Consider the following 17,621-nt stretch of genomic DNA (forward strand, 5'->3'; position numbering starts at 1 on the left):
TTATATTCAACAGCATAAGGCTTTCCAGCTGAGGGCACTCCCCAGTTCACACAGTGTGAGCTAGAACTCAAACAGAAGGCTGTAGCTTGAAAAGTCTGGTACTGACTGAACAAAGTGGCTCATACTTGTAATCCTAGCACTTTGAGAGGCCAAGGCAAGAGGATTATTTGAGCCCAGAAGTTCGAGACCAGCCTGGGCAACAAAGTCAGACCTGGTCTCTACAAAAAATTTAAAAATTAGCCTAGCGGGGTGGCACACGCCTGCAGTCCCAGCCACACAGGAGTCTGAAGCAGGCAAATCACTTGAGCCCAGGAGGTAAGGCTACAGTGAGCTGTGTTCACACCACTGCACTCCAGCCTGGGCAACAGAATGAGACCCTGTCTCAAAAAAAAAGTTTGGTACTGCCAGAGCAGCTAAAAAATGAGAGGAAGATCCAAAAAAAGGACGACGTCACAGTAGGAAACATACCAAAATCTACTGTATAAACTTAGGTACCCATATCCCTGGCTATCCCCTAAACTGTGAAGATGCAAGGGAGACTCCAAGGAGCCTGGAGAAAACAGATGAAAGGCCAAAGAACTGAGCAGAGATTTCGGGACAAATCTCTGGTATCCACAAGAGGGGAGAAAGAGTTTGCATTTTGAGGCTACCTAAGTTAAATAACTGCCTGTATGAAAATCAAACTTTTTATGTAGGAAGAGAACAGAATTCAGAGCCTCAAGAGTGAAGCTGAAATGTGCAGATTACATTTACAAAATAATTAGATATAGTTAAAAAAAAAAACAAAAAGTGACTCCCAGTTAGGAGAAAAGGCAATCATTAGAAACTGAGCCTGATATAAGCAAGCACAAGTCCAAATTACCAAACAAGGACTACACTAGCAAACAAGCAGCTACTCTCAGTATGTTGAAGGACCTAAAGAAAAATATAATCATAATGAATGAACAGATGGAAAAATCTTACAAAAAAATTATACGAATTTGAAAATGAAAAGCACAATATTCAAAATGAAAAATTCACTGTTGAATTTGAAGCTGCAGTGCCACATACATGCCACTGCACATCAGCCTGGTGGTAGAACAAGAACCTGTTTTTAAAAATTCACAATTTATCAACAGATTGCTAATAGCAAAAGAAAGGGTCAGTGAACATTAAATCAACTTAAAATAATCCAAATGAACACAAGGGAAGCCTGGGCAACATGGTGAAACCCTAACTCTAAAAAAAATACAAAATTAGCTAGGCTGATGGTACACGCCTGTATAGTCCCAGCTACTTGAGAGGCTGAAGTGGGAGGATTGCTTGAGCCCAGGAGACCAAGGCTGCAGTGAGCTGTGATCATGCCACCACACTCCAGCTTGGGTGACAGAGAGAGATCAATTTGTTTACTCTCTGTTCAAGGCCAGTGGAGAAAGAAAAATGAAAATGAAAATTTTTGTTCATTGTTTTGCTAAGCTTCTACCAATGATGAGACACTAAAAACTTTAGATAAAATCTTACCTTTTTTTGTCAAATTTTTCCATACATTCTAGAGGCTGAATGAACTGAAGAACTTCATCCCATTGACCATCAAGTATTAGCTGCCTAAATAAAAAATTTAAAAAAACCAGCATGTCACCAAATTCAGGTTATACTAATTAAAAGCAGAACAGATGACAAAACAGCATTCAAACTTCATAAAGCACACAATGAGATTAACATTTTATTTGATTCCTCAAATAAATTTTTCATAATTTTTTTTTTTTTTGAGACAGAGTGTCGCTCTGTTGCCCAGGCTGGAGTGCAATGGCACAATCTCGGCTCACTGCACCCTCTGACTCCTGTGTTCAAGCGATTCTCCTGCCTCAGACACCCGAGAAGCTGGGACTATAGGCTCGCACCACTAAGCCCCACTAATTCTTTTCTATTTTTAGTAGATACAGGGTTTCACCATGTTGGCCAGGCTGGTCTCAAGCTCCTGACCTCAGGTGATCCACCCACCTCAGCCTCTCAAAGTGCTGGGATTACAAGCGTGAGTCACCTCACCTGGCCTAAATTTTTCATAACTTATTTGTAACAACATACACTGTATGAGAAGAATTTGTGAATCTGCAACCACTCATACTAACTATATATATGTGGGTTTTGACCTATGTAAAAACATTGGACATGCCAGGCGTGGTGGCTCACACCTGTAATCCCAGCACTTTGGGAGGCCAAGGTGGGCAGATCACCTGAGGTCAGGAGTTTGAGACCACCCTGCCCAACATGGCGAAACCCCGTCTCTACTAAAAGTACGAAAATTAGCTGGCCGTGGTGGCGGGCGCCCGTAATCCCAGCTACTGGCAGGAGAAGCTTGAACCTGGGCGGCAGAGGTTGCAGTGAGCCAAGATCACGCCACTGCACTCTAGCCTGGGCAACAAAAGAGAGACTCTGTCTCAAAAAAAAAAAAAAAATGGACTAAGCTTTAAAGTTCCTATATTTCCATATTCATCTTACAGTTTTAAAGCTATTATATATTATTTTAAGAACAAGTGGCTGGGCGCAGTGGCTCATGTCTGTGGTCCCAGCACTTTAGGAAGCTAAGGTAAGCAATTCACTCGAGCTCAGGAGTTCGAAACCAGCCTGGGAAACATGGCGAAACCCTGGCTCTACAAAAAATACAAAAATTAGCCAGGCATGGTTGTGCATGCCTGTGGTCCCAGCTACTCGGGAGGCTGAGGTGGGAGGATCACTTGAGCCCAGATGTCAAGGCTGCAGTGAGCTGAGATTGTGCCACTGCACTCCAGCCTGGGCAACAGAGTGAGACCCTGTCTCAAAAAAACACACACAAAAAAGAAAGAACAGGTGATCATTTGAGCCCAGCAGTTCAAGACTAGCCTGGGCAACATGCAAAACCCCATCTCTACAAAAAATTTAAAAATTAGCTGGGCATGGTGGTACATGCCTGTAGTCCCAGCTATTCAGAAGGCTGAGGTGGGATAATCGCTTGAGTCAAGAAGGTCATGGCTGCAGTGACCATGATCATGCCACTCCACTCCAGCCTGGCAGCCTAGGTGACATAGCAAGACCCTGTTTCAAAAAAAAAGTAAAAAGAATTTTAAAAGCTGGGAGTGGGCCAGGCATGGTGGCTGTCAGCATTTTTGGAGGCCGAGGCAGACAGATCACCTGAGGTCAGGAGTTCAAGACCAGGCTGGCCAACATGGCGAAACACCATCTCTACTAAAAATACAAAAATTAGCCAGGCGTGGTGGCAGGTGCCTGTAATCCCAGCTTACTCGGGAAGCTGAGGCAGGGAGAATTGCTTGAACCTACAAGGCACGTTACAGTGAGCCGAAGTCACGCCACTGCAGTCCAGCCTGGGCGACAGAGTGAGACTCTGTCTCAAAAAAAAAAAAAAAAAAAGCTGGGAGTGGTGGCTCACACCTGTAATCCCAACATGTTAGGAGGCTGAGGCACCATGGTGAAAATCCATCTCAACTGGGGGTGATTTTGCATTCTGTCAGGACATTTGGCAACATCTAAAGACATTTTTGGTAGTCACAACTGGGGATACTACTGGGATCTAGTGGGTAGATCTACTGGGATCTAGTTGGGGATGCCGTTAACATCCTACAACAAAGGACAACCCTCCACAACAAAGAATTATCTGGCCCAGATGCTAGCAGTGCCAAGGCTGAGAAACTCTGCTCTACATTGTGAATTCTATGTGAAATCTACAGCTTTGAGAATACAGTTTACACTGAGAATGAAAACAGCAAGGAATAAGAACAAGTTTCATCCTACTTTAAATGGTCTATGGGAATATCCAAAAGTTACAAGGCATTCTTACATCTTTTCTTACACAACGGCAATTTCCCTATTTTTGAATGTTTTAGAACAGAGAAATTTTAAATGGGAAGGATGGGCAGGAAGACCTACATAGGATTAACAATATGCTGCAAAGAAGAAATATTAATAAAAGCAAGATGGGCACAGTGGCTCATGCCTGTAAATCCTAGCACTTTGGGAGGCCAAGGTGGGAGAATCATTTGAGGCCAGGAGTTCAAGATCAGCCAAGGGCAATATAGCAAGATCCTACCTTTATAAAAAAAAAATTAACATAAAGAAATTTTTTAAATAAAAATAAGGCAATCACTGTATATCATAATCATTTTATAAAGGTGCATTTCAATATTTAAAATGTAAGAAAGGACACAATTTCAAAGGCAAGCCCTTTAAGATGAACATATTTAGTTGTTTTTTTTTTTTTTTTTTTGAGACAGAGTCTTGCTCTGTCGCCCAGGCTGGAATGCAGTGGCACGATCTCAGCTCACTGCAAGCTCACGATCTCGGCTCACTGCAAGCTCTGCCTCCTGGGTTCACACCATTCTCCTGCCTCAGCCTCCCAAGTAGCTAGGACTACAGGCACCCGCCACCACGCCTGGCTAATTTTTTGTATTTTTAGTAGAGACGGGGGGTTTCACCGCATTAGCCAGGATGGTCTCGATCTCCTGACCTCGTGATCCACCCACCTTGGCCTCCCAAAGTGCTGGGATTACAGGCGTGAGCCACTGTGCCCAGCCGAACATATTTAGTTTAATGAAAAACCTACTATTTTATTATTCTTTGCATTTCACCTCAGACCAGTAAAATTTCATCATAAATCAAGCAGGAGGGTACTTGAGAGCTGCCACTGTTAACTTCTAGGAGTATTAATGCTTCAAAGATAGTGCTTAAAAAAATACTACACTATTAACTAAGCTCCCTGGGGCTGGATGATATTCATAACACAAAATATAGGGAAGTGCAACAAGTTTAAATAGAGTCCCCTAATATAATAAAGCTTTGTTATTGCTGTTATTGTTGTTGTTGTTGAATGGTTCCTTTTCATAAGCTAGGAACACTTCATTTTTTTTTTTTTTTCTGAGATGGAGTTTCCTTCTTGTCGCCCAAGCTGGAATACAATGGTACGATCTCAACTCACTGAAACCTCTGCCTCCTGGGAGGAACACTTCATTTCTTGAGGCTTTCCAAGTCACAAAATGCCACATGTCCAAGAATCTGTACTTCTTGTCAAGGATATTTGGTATCTCATAAAAATAGAATACACTTCTGCCTGCAAATTTGGGATTTTCCGTTTCTATCCAATTCAGACTAGAATATATTTAGCTTTCCATTTTGGCAAACATGTTACTTCACTTTGCCTTGCAATTCCACCTCTAAGAATCTTGTCCTAAGGAAATAATCCAATATATAGAAAAAGTCTCAGCTAGGTGCAGTGGCTCATGTCTGTAATCCCAGCACTTTGGGAGGCCGAGGCAGGCAGATCACCTGAGGTCAGGAGTTTGAGACCAGCCTTGCCAAAATGGTGAAACCTTGCCTCTACTAAAAATACAAAAATTAGCCGGACGTGGTGGTGTGCACCTGTAGTCCCAGCTACCTGGGAGGCTAAGGCGAGAGAATCACTTGAACCCAGGAGGTGGAGGTTGTAGTGAGCTGAGATCATGCCACTGCACCCCAGCCTAGGTGACAAAGCAAGCCTCTATCTCAAAAAAAAAAAAAAAAAGGCGCAAGTATAAAATGTTCTGTAGAGCAATTATTTAAGATAAATTGGGAACAATTGTTTAAAATTAGGGGAGCCATTAGGAAATTAAGTAAACTGAAATTTTTTATTTGTAGCTGGAATTACAGGCATGCACCACTATGCCCAGCTAATTTTAGTATTTTTAATAGAGACGGGATTTCACCACGTTGGCCAGGCTGGTCTCGAACTCCTAACCTTAAGTGATCCACACGGCTCAGCCTCCCAAAGTGCTGGGATTACAGGCGTAAGCCACCACGCCTGGCCTTTTTTAATTTATTATTTATTTAATTTATTATTTATTTATTTATTTAGTCTTGCTCTGTCGCCCAGGCTGGAGTACAGTGGCACCATCATGGCTCACTGCAACCTCTGCCTCTCGGGCTCAAGTGATTTTCCTGCCTTAGCCTCTCGAGTAGCTGGGACTAGAGGCATGCACCACCACACCCAGCTAATTTTTGTATTTTTAGTAGAGACGGGGTTTCACTACGTTGGCCAGTCTGGTCTCAAACTCCTGACCTCAGGTGATCCGCCTGCCTTGGACTCGCAAATGGCTAGGATTGCAGGTTTGAGTCACCATGCCCAGCCTGAAAATTTTTTAAATATAAGTTTGTAATCACACAGAGAAACCTTGTGATGTTAATAGATAAGGCATGATTCTAAATCATAAACACAACAGAATTGTTATTTTTAATAGATGCAAAAAAAAGATGCACAGAATTTACACTCTAAGAATGAAAACAGCAAGGAATAAGAACAATATTATGTCTGTGTGGTGGGGTAATTTTTCTTTTATTTATCTTTCTATATTTTCTATAATGAACACATCTTATTTCTATGGCCAAAAAATGGTATTTCAGAAACATTTTCTTTACCTTTTCAAAGTCCGATTTTCTTAGTCAAATATCTTTTATTATCATACCACAACCACAATGGAGTGATGACTCTTGTTCTTTTTAACAGACCTCTGGGTCTTACTACTGAAAACATTCTACAGAAAGCATTATTTTGTAAATGTTCCTTTTTTTTATTTTTGTATTTTTGAGACGGAGTCTCACTCTGCTGCCCAGGCTGGAGTGCAACGGTGCGATCTCAGCTCACTGGAACCTCCGTCTCCCTGGTTCAAATGATTCTCCTGCCTCAGCCTCCCGACTAGCTGGGATTACAGGCATGTGCCACCATGCCCGGTTAATTTTTATATTTTTAGTAGAGGCGGGATTTCACCATGTTGGCCAGGCTGGTCTCAAAACTCCTGACCTCAAGTGATCCGCCTGCCTCAGCCTCCCAAAGTGCTGGGATTACAGGCGTGAGCCACCACGCCCAGCCTATTTTGTAAATGTTCTATTTTTAAAATATTTTTTTAGGTCGGGTGCGGTGGCTCACGCCTGTAATCCCAGCACTTTGGGAGGCCAAGGTGGGCAGATCACGAGGTCAGGAGATCGAGACCATCCTGGCTAACATGGTGAAACCCCATCTCTACTAAAAATACAAAAATTAGCTGGCCGTGGTGATGGGCGCCTGTAGTCCCAGCTACGCAGGAGGCTGAGGCAGGAGAATGGCGTGAACCCGGGAGGCGGAGCTTGCAGTGAGCCGACATCTCGCCACTGCACTCCAGCCTGGGTGACAGAGCAAGACTCCGTCTCAAAAAATAAAATAAAATAAAATATTTTTTAAAATTATACTTACATAGCCTTTTCATGATTATAAAGTTCTATCTGTATTATATATATTACCTTATTAATACTTAACATTTCTTCGAAGGAGCTACAAACTTCACAGTATAATGAAATCATACCTCAGGAAAAGCATATCATCTGAAAACAGGCCATTTATGACTCCACTTTCCTTCTCCAGGGCCAGCATACTAATGTGAAGCTTCTTTGAATTCAGGAAGTCCAAAATTAGCTTAATGATTTCAACCTCTTTTACATTCACTGTTTCTTCAGCCGTCATATTGATAGCCTAAATATGAAACAGAAAAACAATAAAGCTAGTCCTATTGATTTATTTCTAAGTTTAACTGCCTGGCAACTACACATAACAGGTTTACTGGGAATCTTTAGTACACATATTCTGAAGTGAAGTTAACTTAGTATTTATCAAAACCAAGTCGTTCTTTAATATGTGACAATGGTATGGCCATGATTTTTTAAAGTCCTTATCTTTGAAATACATATTGGAATAATTACAGATTAAATGATATAAACTTTGTGATTTACATGAAAATAATAGAAGAGAAGAGTGGGAAGAGATAAAGATGAAACAAGAATGATTATGGTTACTGAAGCAGGGTAATAGGTAAATGAGGGTTTATTATATAATCCTGTCTACTCCTACATGTTTAAAATTTTCCATAATAGAGAATATTTTAAAAAGTCATTAATAACCAAACCATGTTTAGCTATGTCCCAAATACATTGTCCCAGGTATGCTCTAATACATTCACTCAATAAGTACTTAATGCCTTTTCTCTGTGACAGACATGATTCTGTACTCAGGAGACATTGGCCTTGCTTTAAGAAGCTTTAGTCTAGCAGTAATACCTAAATGATGACCTGGTCAGTACAGCGGAGCCAAACAAAACAAGGTTAGTTAAGATGTGCAACTTTAGGGCAGGTGTAGTGGCGTACGCCTGTAATCCCTGTACTTTGGGAGGCCAAAGTGGAGGGACTGCTTGAGTTCAGGAGTTCGAGACCAGCCTGGGAACCATGGCAAAACCACATCTGTACAAAAAAAATTAAAAAATTAGCAGGGCAAGATGGTGTGTGTCTATAGTCCCAGCACTCTGGAGGCTGAGGTGGGAGGATCGCTTGAGCCCAGGAGATCAAGGCTGCAGTGAGCAAAGATCGTGCCACTGCACTACAGCCTGAGCAACAGAATTAGACTCCGTCTCAAAAAAAAAAGAAAGAAAAAAGTGCAACTTTAGTCATATGGGTAATATCAGTGATATTTCAATACTCTCTAAGCTTCCTTCTAACTCTTACCTGTAGGTCTGCTACAACTGAGCACATAATGCTCAGGTTATGAATCCATAAAGATTTAGACCTGGGAGGACTATAAGATCATTTGTTCAACATTCTAATTTTACCAGTGAAGCCACACAAGTTAAATGGCCTAAACTGTTACAGTTTTCAAATGTTAAGGTTCAGAGCAATGCAAAATACCACCACACTAGGGGAGTAGCCACAAAGAAACTTCATCAGATGAAACAGACTATAAGCATATCTTTCTCACAGGACCAACTTATTCTAACCAAGCTTGCAGAAACATAAACATACACATGTGGACTGGGTGTAGTGACTCACGCCTGTAGTCCCAGCACTTTGGGAGGCTGAAGCAGGAGGATCGCTTGAGCCCAGAAGTTAGAAGTTACATACAGTGAGCTATGATCACACCACTGCACACCTCTGAACAACAGAGGAAGACCATGTCTCTAAACAAAACAAAACAAAAAATATATGTAGGCCCACAGGTTAGTGTTGTTTCCATTTCTTTACTTTTGGGTTGATTTTTTTGTTTATAACAAGAAATGCAAATGTCTAGCAGACTAGAATGCTCTCATCAGCAGATGAGTACATTTTCTCCCTCAGCTAGAGGCCTGGGCATGGTGGCTCACACCTGTAGTTCCAGCACTTTGAGAGGTCGAGGTGGGAGGATCACATGAGCCCAGGAGTGCGAGACAAGCCTGGGCAACATGGCGAAACATGGTCTCTACCAAAAATATAACAATCAGCCAGCATGTGTGCCTGTAGTTCCAGTTACTCAGGAGGCTGAGGTGGAAAGATCACTGGAGCCCCAGAAGTTGAGGCTACAGTGAGCGGTGATCATACCACTGCACTCCAGCCTGGGCGGTAGCGTGAGACTCTGCCTCAAAAAAAAAAAAAAAAAAAAGAAGGCTGGGCACAGTGGCTCACACCTGTAATCCCAGCACTTTGGGAGGCTGAGACGGGTGGATTATGAGATCAGGAGTTTGAGGCCAGCCTGGCCAACATGGTGAAACCCCACCTCTACTAAAAATACAAAAATTAGCGGAGCGTGGTGGCACGCACCTGTAATCCCAGCTACTTGGGAGGCTGAGGCAGGAGAATTGCTTGAACCCAGGAGGCGGAGGTTGCAGTGAGCCAAGATTGTGCCACTGCACTCCAGCCTGGGCAATAGAGCCAGACTCCATCTCGGAAAAAGAAAAAAAAACTAACAAATAAAAAAAAGTGGCGCTAGGGTAAACAAGGGACAAACCACAGAAAAATAATTATACGACTCACTCAAATATTTAATGACATCAGACTACACAAATCCCTCTGCAGAGTAAGAATATGTCTGTCTCAGGAAACAGTAAATCACAAACTTATCTCCCAACACACCAGCTACCCAACTCCGCATGCTTTAGGTTTCCCTTTCCTATCTTCTGAGCTGACCACCATCCTCCTGTTCACAGACTTCGTCCAAAAGAGGATACGGTAAAATAAGTTAAGATTTCCACTCACTAAATTCTTTTTTTTTTTTTAAAGACAGGGTCTTGCTCTGTCACCTAGGTTAGAGTGCAGTTGCATGACCATGGCCCACTGCAGCCTTGACCTCCCAGGCTCAAGTGATCCTCCCGCTTCAGCCTTCCAAGTACCTGGGATGACAGGTGTGTGCCACCGTACCCAGCTAATTTTTTATTTTACTTTTTGTAGAGACGGGATCTACCTATGTTGCCTAGGCTGCTCTCGAACTCCTGGGCTCAAGCAATCCTCTCGCCTCGGCATCCCAAAGTGTTGGGATTACAGGGATGAGCCACCGTGCCCACCTTTTTTTTTTTTTCAGGTTATCCGTGGAAACTACTCATTAAATTCTGATCATATCAGAACTGTCTCCCTAATATTATTCTTAGAGCACACTGATTAGTGATTTTAGCATTCCTCAAATCTTTAGACAATTCTTTTTTTTATTTTTACTGCTCCTTGCAGAGCAGGCTACCCAATAGGCAGTGTGCCCAGAGTAGCCCTTCAGGTAATTCTTACTAGCAAAAAAATGGCTTTTACTAATTTAACTCTCAGAAAAAAATATTCCCTCCTCTGTAGGTTCTTAGAGGGCACATCACATATATCTCCATGTACCAACCACACAAACTTAATGCACAATTGGGACTATAATTTTCTAATATAGCTCAATATACCAATGATACTAAACATTGTATAGGCTTCATATTCAACATTCAATCTAAATATCAGTCCAGATATAAAGTTACTCTGAATGGAATTTATGGCAATAGTCCCACTTTAAATAATAACTACAAGTTTAATGTTGCAGTCATTTTTGGTTAATAAAGCCTAAGAGAACTACATTCTTACAAATACATATTTTATACTGACAGTTGAAGGTAACAGAAAATATGTCCTAATTAACTTAAAATTGGTTCAAGTTTTCTTTTTAAAAAAAAACTAATTAAAAAAAGACAAGTTTTAATTCTATACCTTGAAATTCCCAGTAGAATAATATATTTTAATCACCCAACACAGAATTTTTTTTTTTTAAGGCAGAGTCTCCCTCTGTTGCCCGGGCTGGAGTGCAGTGGCAATCTCGGCTGGCTGCAACCTCCGCCTCCCAGGTTCAAGCAATTCTCTTGCCTCAGCCTCCTGGGTAGCTGGGATTACAGGCGTGCACTTACACAACCGGCTAATTTTTTGTATTTTTAGTAGAGACGGGGTTTCGCCATGTTTGCCAGGCTGGTCTCAAACTCTTGACCTCAGGTGATCCGCCCACCTCAGCCTCCCAAAGTGCTGGGATTACAGGCGTGAGCCACCAAGCCTGGCCCAGAATTTTAATTCTTATAAGCTTCACTGTTGCTGAATACAGTATAAATATAGGCATAGGCACATGCTTGATGACTATATCTTAGAATTATTCTCTTCTAACTCCCTTGTATTACTGAAACATTTATACAGGCTCCCAAAATCTTACCTCTGTAAGTGATATATACTGCATACTTTTTTTTTCCCCCAGATGGAGTCTTGCTCTGTCACCCAGGCAAGAGTGCAGTGGTGCAATCTCGGTTTACTGCAACCTCCGCCTCCCGGGTTCAAGTGATTCTCCTTCCTCAGCCTCCCAAGTAGCTGGGATCACAGGTGCCTGCCACCACGCCCGGCTAATTTTTGTATTTTTAGTAGAGATGGGGTTTCACCATCTTGGCAGGGCTGGTCTTGAACTCCTGACCTCGTGATCCACCCGCCTCAGCCTCCCAAAATGCTGGGATTACAGGCATGAGCCACCATGCCCAGCTATATACATATTTTAAACATCTATTTCCTGTAATCCTAGCTACTTTGGAAGGCTGAGGTGGGCAACATAGTGAGACCTTATCTCAAATAAATAAATAAATAACTATTCACCACAAAGTTAGAACTTTTCTCTAATTCAGGGAAACAGAATTCAATAATAATTACTTCTTCCCCTCTCCTCTGGGGGAGCTATAAATCTGCAAAAGATTTTAACAAGTTTAGGAACTACTAAAATTATCTTTTAAAATGAGATGCACATATAATCATAATATGTGTTCAATAAATAAATATTAGCTGAATTAACTTGAGATGTAAAGTCACTGAAGAAATGTCTCTACAAAAGTACAGAACAGATGACTATGGTTTTGTTTGTTTGTCTGTTTTAGACAGGGTCTTACTCTGAGGCCCAGGCAGGAGTGCAGTGGCTGAATCATGGCTCACTGCAGCCTTGGCCTTCTGGGCTCAAGCAATCCTCCCACCTCAGCCTCCCAAGTAGCTGGGACCACAGGCATGTGCCACTGGGCCCAGCTAATTTTTGTTGGGTTTTTTTTTTTTTTTTTTTTTTGTAGAGATTGGGTTTCGCCATGTTGCCCAGGCTTAGTCTGACTGCTTGAACTCCTGAGCTCAAGCAATCCACCCGCCTCGACCTCCAAAGTGCTGGGATTACAGGCATGAGCCATCATGCCTGGCCCAGAGGACTTTGTTTTTAATTGTTTTCAAAAACTTACTGAAAAGGATGGAGCTGTGACTGAAGCAATCCAGCTATTTAGCCTAAGCATGTGCCAACACGCCCAGCTAATTTTTTGTATCTTTAGTAGAGGTGGGGTTTCACCATGTTGGCCAAGATGGTCTTGATCTCCTGATCTCGTCATCCGCCCGCCTCAGCCTCCCAAAGTGCTGGGATTACAGGCATGAGCCACCGTGCCTGGCCTTAAAAAACTTTTTTTAAAAAACATTTTTGAGGTTAATTTTAATTAATTTAATATGTATTTAATAATACATATATAATTTACCATCTTCACCATTTTTATGTGTACAGTTCAACGGTAATAAATAAATCTATATTCCATCCTTGCCTTTCCTCTTTCCCTTCTGGCCTCTGGTTAAAATCACAAAAATGTAATTGTGAATTTTCCTTTAAAAAGTAAGTTTTACTTATATCCAATATCCAGACTAGGTAAAGAAATAAGAGTGTTCTTTAAATATAAGTATGTCTGGAAACCAGCTAGAAGGTATTTAGTATTTTAGTCCTTAGATACAATTAACATACACTGAAATTAATTCCAGATGGGGTCTCTATGTGGACTCCTATTGATTACCATCTTAGTAAACCAAGATTAGAAGGATGTATTAAAGGGTTAGAAATAAAATTATTTTTAGAAATCTAAGATTAAAGGTAAAATGTTAATAATACATAAGAAACTGCCGGGCGCAGTGGCTCATGGCTATAATCCCAACACTTTGGGAGGCCGAGGCAGGTGGATCACGAGGTCAGGAGTTCAAGACCAGCCTGGCCGAGATGCTGAAACCCCGTCTCTACTAAAAATACAAACAAATTGGCCAGGCGCAGTGGCTCATGCCTATAATCCCAGCACTTTGGGAGGCTGAGGCTGGTGGATAACCTGAGGTCAGGAGTTCGAAACCAGCCTGGCCAACATGATAAAACCCTGTCTCTACTGAAAATACAAAAATTAGCCGGGCGTGGTGGTGCATGCCTGTGGTCCCAGCTACTCAGGAAGCTAAGGCAGGAGAAATCACTTGATTCTCACTTGAACCTGGGAGGCAGAGTTTGCAGTGAACCAAGGTTGCGCCACTGTACTCCAGCCTGGGTGACAGAGCGAGACTCTGTCTCTAAATAAATAAATAAATAAATAAATAAATAAATAAATAAATATTTTTTTAAAAAAATTACCCGGGCGTGGTGGTGGGCACCTCTAATCCCAGCTACTCGAGAGGCTGAGGCAGAGAACTGCTTGAGCCCAGGAGGTGGAGGCTGCAGTACACTGAGATCACACCACTGCACTCCAGCCTGGGCAACAGAGAAAGACTTCGTCTCAAAAAAAAAAAAAGAAAGAAAGAAAGAAAATATTCTAGTAATAAAAATATATTGACTCTGTGTATTTCCATACAAAGATATGGAAAAACTTCATGAAAAAATATCACTGGTAGCTTTCTAACCAAATATAAGCAGATATGATTTAATTAAATGTCCCTTTCTGGCAGTGACGACCTACCCACAGGAGAACATGCCTCTCGCAAAAGATCTCCTTCATCCCTCCCCAGAAGAAGAGAAGAAGAAACACAAGAAGAAACGCCTGGTGCAGAGCCCCAATTCCTACTTCATGGGTGTGAAATGCCCAGGATAATATAAATCACCACGGTCTTTAGCCATGCACAAATGGTAGTTTTGTGTGTTGGCTGCTCCACTGTCCTCTGCCAGCCTACAGGAGGAAAAGCAAGGCTTACAGAAGGATGTTCCTTCAGGAAGAAGCAGCACTAAAAGCACTCTGAATCAAGATGAGTGGGAAACCATCTCAATAAGCACATTTTTGATAAAAATAAAAAATAAAATAAAATAAAATAAAAATTAAATGTTCATCTGCAATGCGGTTACTTAAACACACATTATGAAGGAAAAAAAACACAACAGGCCAAGAATTACTATAAATATAAGGTTAAGAGAACTAGGGCACAGTCATTATAAACCTTATAGTTATGACAAAAGTGCTTAATAAAGGCTCCATTAATCTGCAATTCCATCTCACACAATAAAAACTGCTCTCTTTAATCTTCCAAGTATTACAGAGTGCCTAACATGGAACAATAGTGCTTTACAACAGAACTTCACAAACAAAAATGCAGACAAGAAGATGAAGTGTCATGAAGCTTTTCAATAAAATACCAAACTGCAACACAGGACTACTGCATCTTTTCCTTTAAAAAAAAAAAAAAAAAGGAGAAAAAAACTGCTAGCTGTTTTTAATAACATGGCATTCAAAAAACTTTATGTTGCTGCCAGGTCATTTAATTTTAAATGTCCAGACCTGCAGGAATATATATGTGATGTTGCAAGTCACTAACCTCTATGGGCCTCAATTTCTTCATTCATAAAGTAAGGGGATTCGTTTGTCTAATTTCTATGATTTCCCTTCAAGTTTTATAATTTGCTTTAACTTACATTTCAATATCAGAAAGTACATATTCTTGGGAAACATCAAGAATATATAGAAAATATAAAGTCCGGGATAATCAGAAGCCTGTAATTAATAAAGTCTGTTTAATAAGAAGAAACAAAATAGATTTGCATTAGATCACTTAAGCAAACAAACAAAAGAAAAGCTCTTCTAACCAAAGCTCTGTCATGTCTGCTAATCACCTAACATTTGTAACATGGGTGCAGCACGTGCCCCTGCTTACTGTTGACAGCAGTTCTCAATTTATCAATTACTTTAATTTACCTTCTGGAACTGTGAATGATTTTTGGCCAGAAGAAATAAATTATGTTTAAAGCAGGTGCAACTTTATATAACTATAAAAAGAAACTAATATAAACTGTATGTTGTATACATGCATAAAATATCTCTGGAAAAAAATATAAGAAATTGGTGATACTGGTTGTATCCTAGAAGGAAAACTAGATAAGAATAGAAATGGAATCTGTACAACAAAGCAGCCCTGTAACATGAGTTTACCTATATAACAAACCTGTACATGTACCCCTGAACCTAAAATGAATAGGAATGGGAAGATCACTATATACCCTTTTGAATTTTGTACCATGGACAAATATTACCTATTCAAAAAATTAAAAATAATAAAACATAAATAACAAATTTACATTTGCAAACTACTAGAAGGAATTAGTAAACTAATGCATATAATGAAGTAATAATATTTCAAAGGAATTTGTATTTCTTCCCCATAACCCAAGACCTCTTCTCAGATCTGATTTGAATATCATTTCAATCTTTCTTTCTTTTTTTTTTTTTTTTTTTTTTAAGACAGGGTCTTGCTCTCAACACCAGGCTGAAGTGCAGTGGCACGATCTTAGCTCACTGCAGCCTTGACCACCTGAGCTGAAGAGATCCTCCCGCCTCAGCCTTCCCAGTAATTGGGACTACAGGCATGCACCACCATACCTGGCTAATTTTTGTGTTTTTTGTAGAGACAGGATTTCACCATGTTGCTCAGGCTGGTCTCCCACTCCTAGGCTACAGATATCTGCCAGCCTCAGCCTCCTAAAGTGCTGAGAACGCAGGCATAAGCAACTGCACCTGGCCTCAATCTTTCTTTATGAGACTAAGGACTAAGGTATGTGTGTTCTTTCCATATTCAAACCCAGAAATTTTTAAACAAGTATGTTTAAAATTACTGAAGTACTAACAATTCACATGATAAAAACGATTTTCTGGCCAGGCGCAGTGGCTCATGCCTGTAATCCCAGCACTTTGGGAGGCGGAGGCGGGTGGATCTCGAGGTCAGATCGAGACCATCCTGGCTAACACGGTGAAACCCCGTCTCTACTAAAAATACAGAAGATTAGCCAGGCGTGGTGACGGGCGCCTGTAGTCCCAGCTACTCGGGAGGCTGAGGCAGGAGAATGGCATGAACCCGGGAGGTGGAGCTTGCAGTGAGCTGAGATCGCAGCACTGCACTCCAGCTTGGGCGACAGAGCGAGACTGTCTCAAAAAAAAAAAAAAAAGATTTTCTTACTCAAGCTGCTCAATTAAGTCATGTAATGCAGAAAAGGTAAAGAAAAAAAATTGTCAACTTTGACACTAAAAATGTAAAATGTAGACCAGGCATGGTGGCTCACACCTGTAATCCCAGCACTTTGGGAGGCCAGGTGGGCGGATCACTTGAGGTCAGGAGTTCAAGACCAGCCTGGCCAACGTGGCAAAACCCTGTCTCTACTAAAAATACATAAATTAACCAGGCATGGTGGCATGTGCCTATAATCCCAGCTATTCAGGAGGCTGAGGCAGGAATATTGCTTGAACCCGGGAGGTGGAGGTTGCAGTGAGCTGAGATTGCACCACTGCACTCCAGCCTGGGTGACAGAGTGACACTCTGTCCAAAAAAAAAAATTACAAAACGTAAATCTTCCATTCAACAGAAACTTGCCACAAACAATTATGTTAAAAGACAAGGCACAAAGTAGGACTAAGTAAAACACACATAAAGAGTTAAATGGGGCTGGGCGCAGTGGCTCACACCTGTAATCCCAGCACATTGGGAGGCCAAGGCAGGTGGATCATGAGGTCAGGAGTTCAAGACCAGCCTGGCCAAGATGGTGAAACCCCGTCTCTACTAAAAATACAAAAATTAGCTGGGCACAGTGGCAGGCACCTGTAATCCCAGGTACTCGGGAGGCTGAGGCAGGAGAATCACTTGAACCCAGGGGGGCAGAGGTGGCAGTGAGTCGAGATCACGCCACTACACTCCAGCTTGGGCGACAGAATGAGACTCTGCCTCAAAAGGAAAAACAAAAACAAAAAAAAGCTAAATGGTTATTATCTGGAGCATATAAATAGCATCTTCAAATCAATACCCTCAAAATTCCAGACGAAAAATGAGCAAAAAATATAGACAATTCACAAAAGAACTATGAATACCAATATATTTGTGAAAAGATGCTCAACCTCAATAATAGTTTTATAACAAGGTACCAACATGCTCACTTCCACACACAGTAAAATGAGTTACCCATTTACGGCCTACCAGTTTTGAAAAAGAAAAAAGAAGACCCGATAATATCTAGTTTTGGCAAGAGTGTGGGCAAATGCCTTCATATACTGTTGTTAAGAATGTAAACTGGG

The 17,621-nt window shown here is 41.3% G+C and overlaps 1 protein-coding gene and 1 pseudogene across 15 annotated transcripts in view, besides 1 other annotated feature; one reads left to right on the forward strand and one right to left on the reverse strand.

Moving 5' to 3' along the window:
• Positions 1 to 17,621, reverse strand: part of WDR47 (WD repeat domain 47) — a 71,889-nt gene that overhangs the window by 45,804 nt on the left and 8,464 nt on the right. For 14 of the 15 annotated variants that reach the window (NM_001142551.2, XM_011541028.4, NM_014969.6 and 11 more), the window contains exons 2-3: positions 7,338 to 7,504; positions 1,501 to 1,584 (exon numbers count right to left, since the gene is read on the reverse strand). In NM_001142551.2, the coding sequence (NP_001136023.1) occupies positions 1,501 to 1,584; positions 7,338 to 7,495 (242 nt within the window). In that variant the 5' untranslated portion in view covers positions 7,496 to 7,504. Of the gene's footprint in view, positions 1 to 1,500; positions 1,585 to 7,337; positions 7,505 to 17,621 lie in introns of those variants that run through there. The other variant, XM_011541031.2, reaches the window with a different exon arrangement.
• RPS27P6 (ribosomal protein S27 pseudogene 6) lies at positions 14,014 to 14,359 on the forward strand (annotated as a pseudogene).
• Positions 14,996 to 15,196: a silencer, noted in NCBI's record as "peak353 fragment used in MPRA reporter construct". NCBI's record gives its function as "represses an SCP1 promoter by STARR-seq MPRAs in K562 erythroleukemia cells {active_cell/tissue: K562}" and the evidence as "EXISTENCE:reporter gene assay evidence [ECO:0000049][PMID:32103011]".

The sequence above is a fragment of the Homo sapiens genome, chromosome 1 (genome assembly GCF_000001405.40).
Source record: "Homo sapiens chromosome 1, GRCh38.p14 Primary Assembly".
In the NCBI taxonomy this organism is placed as follows: domain Eukaryota; kingdom Metazoa; phylum Chordata; class Mammalia; order Primates; family Hominidae; genus Homo; species Homo sapiens.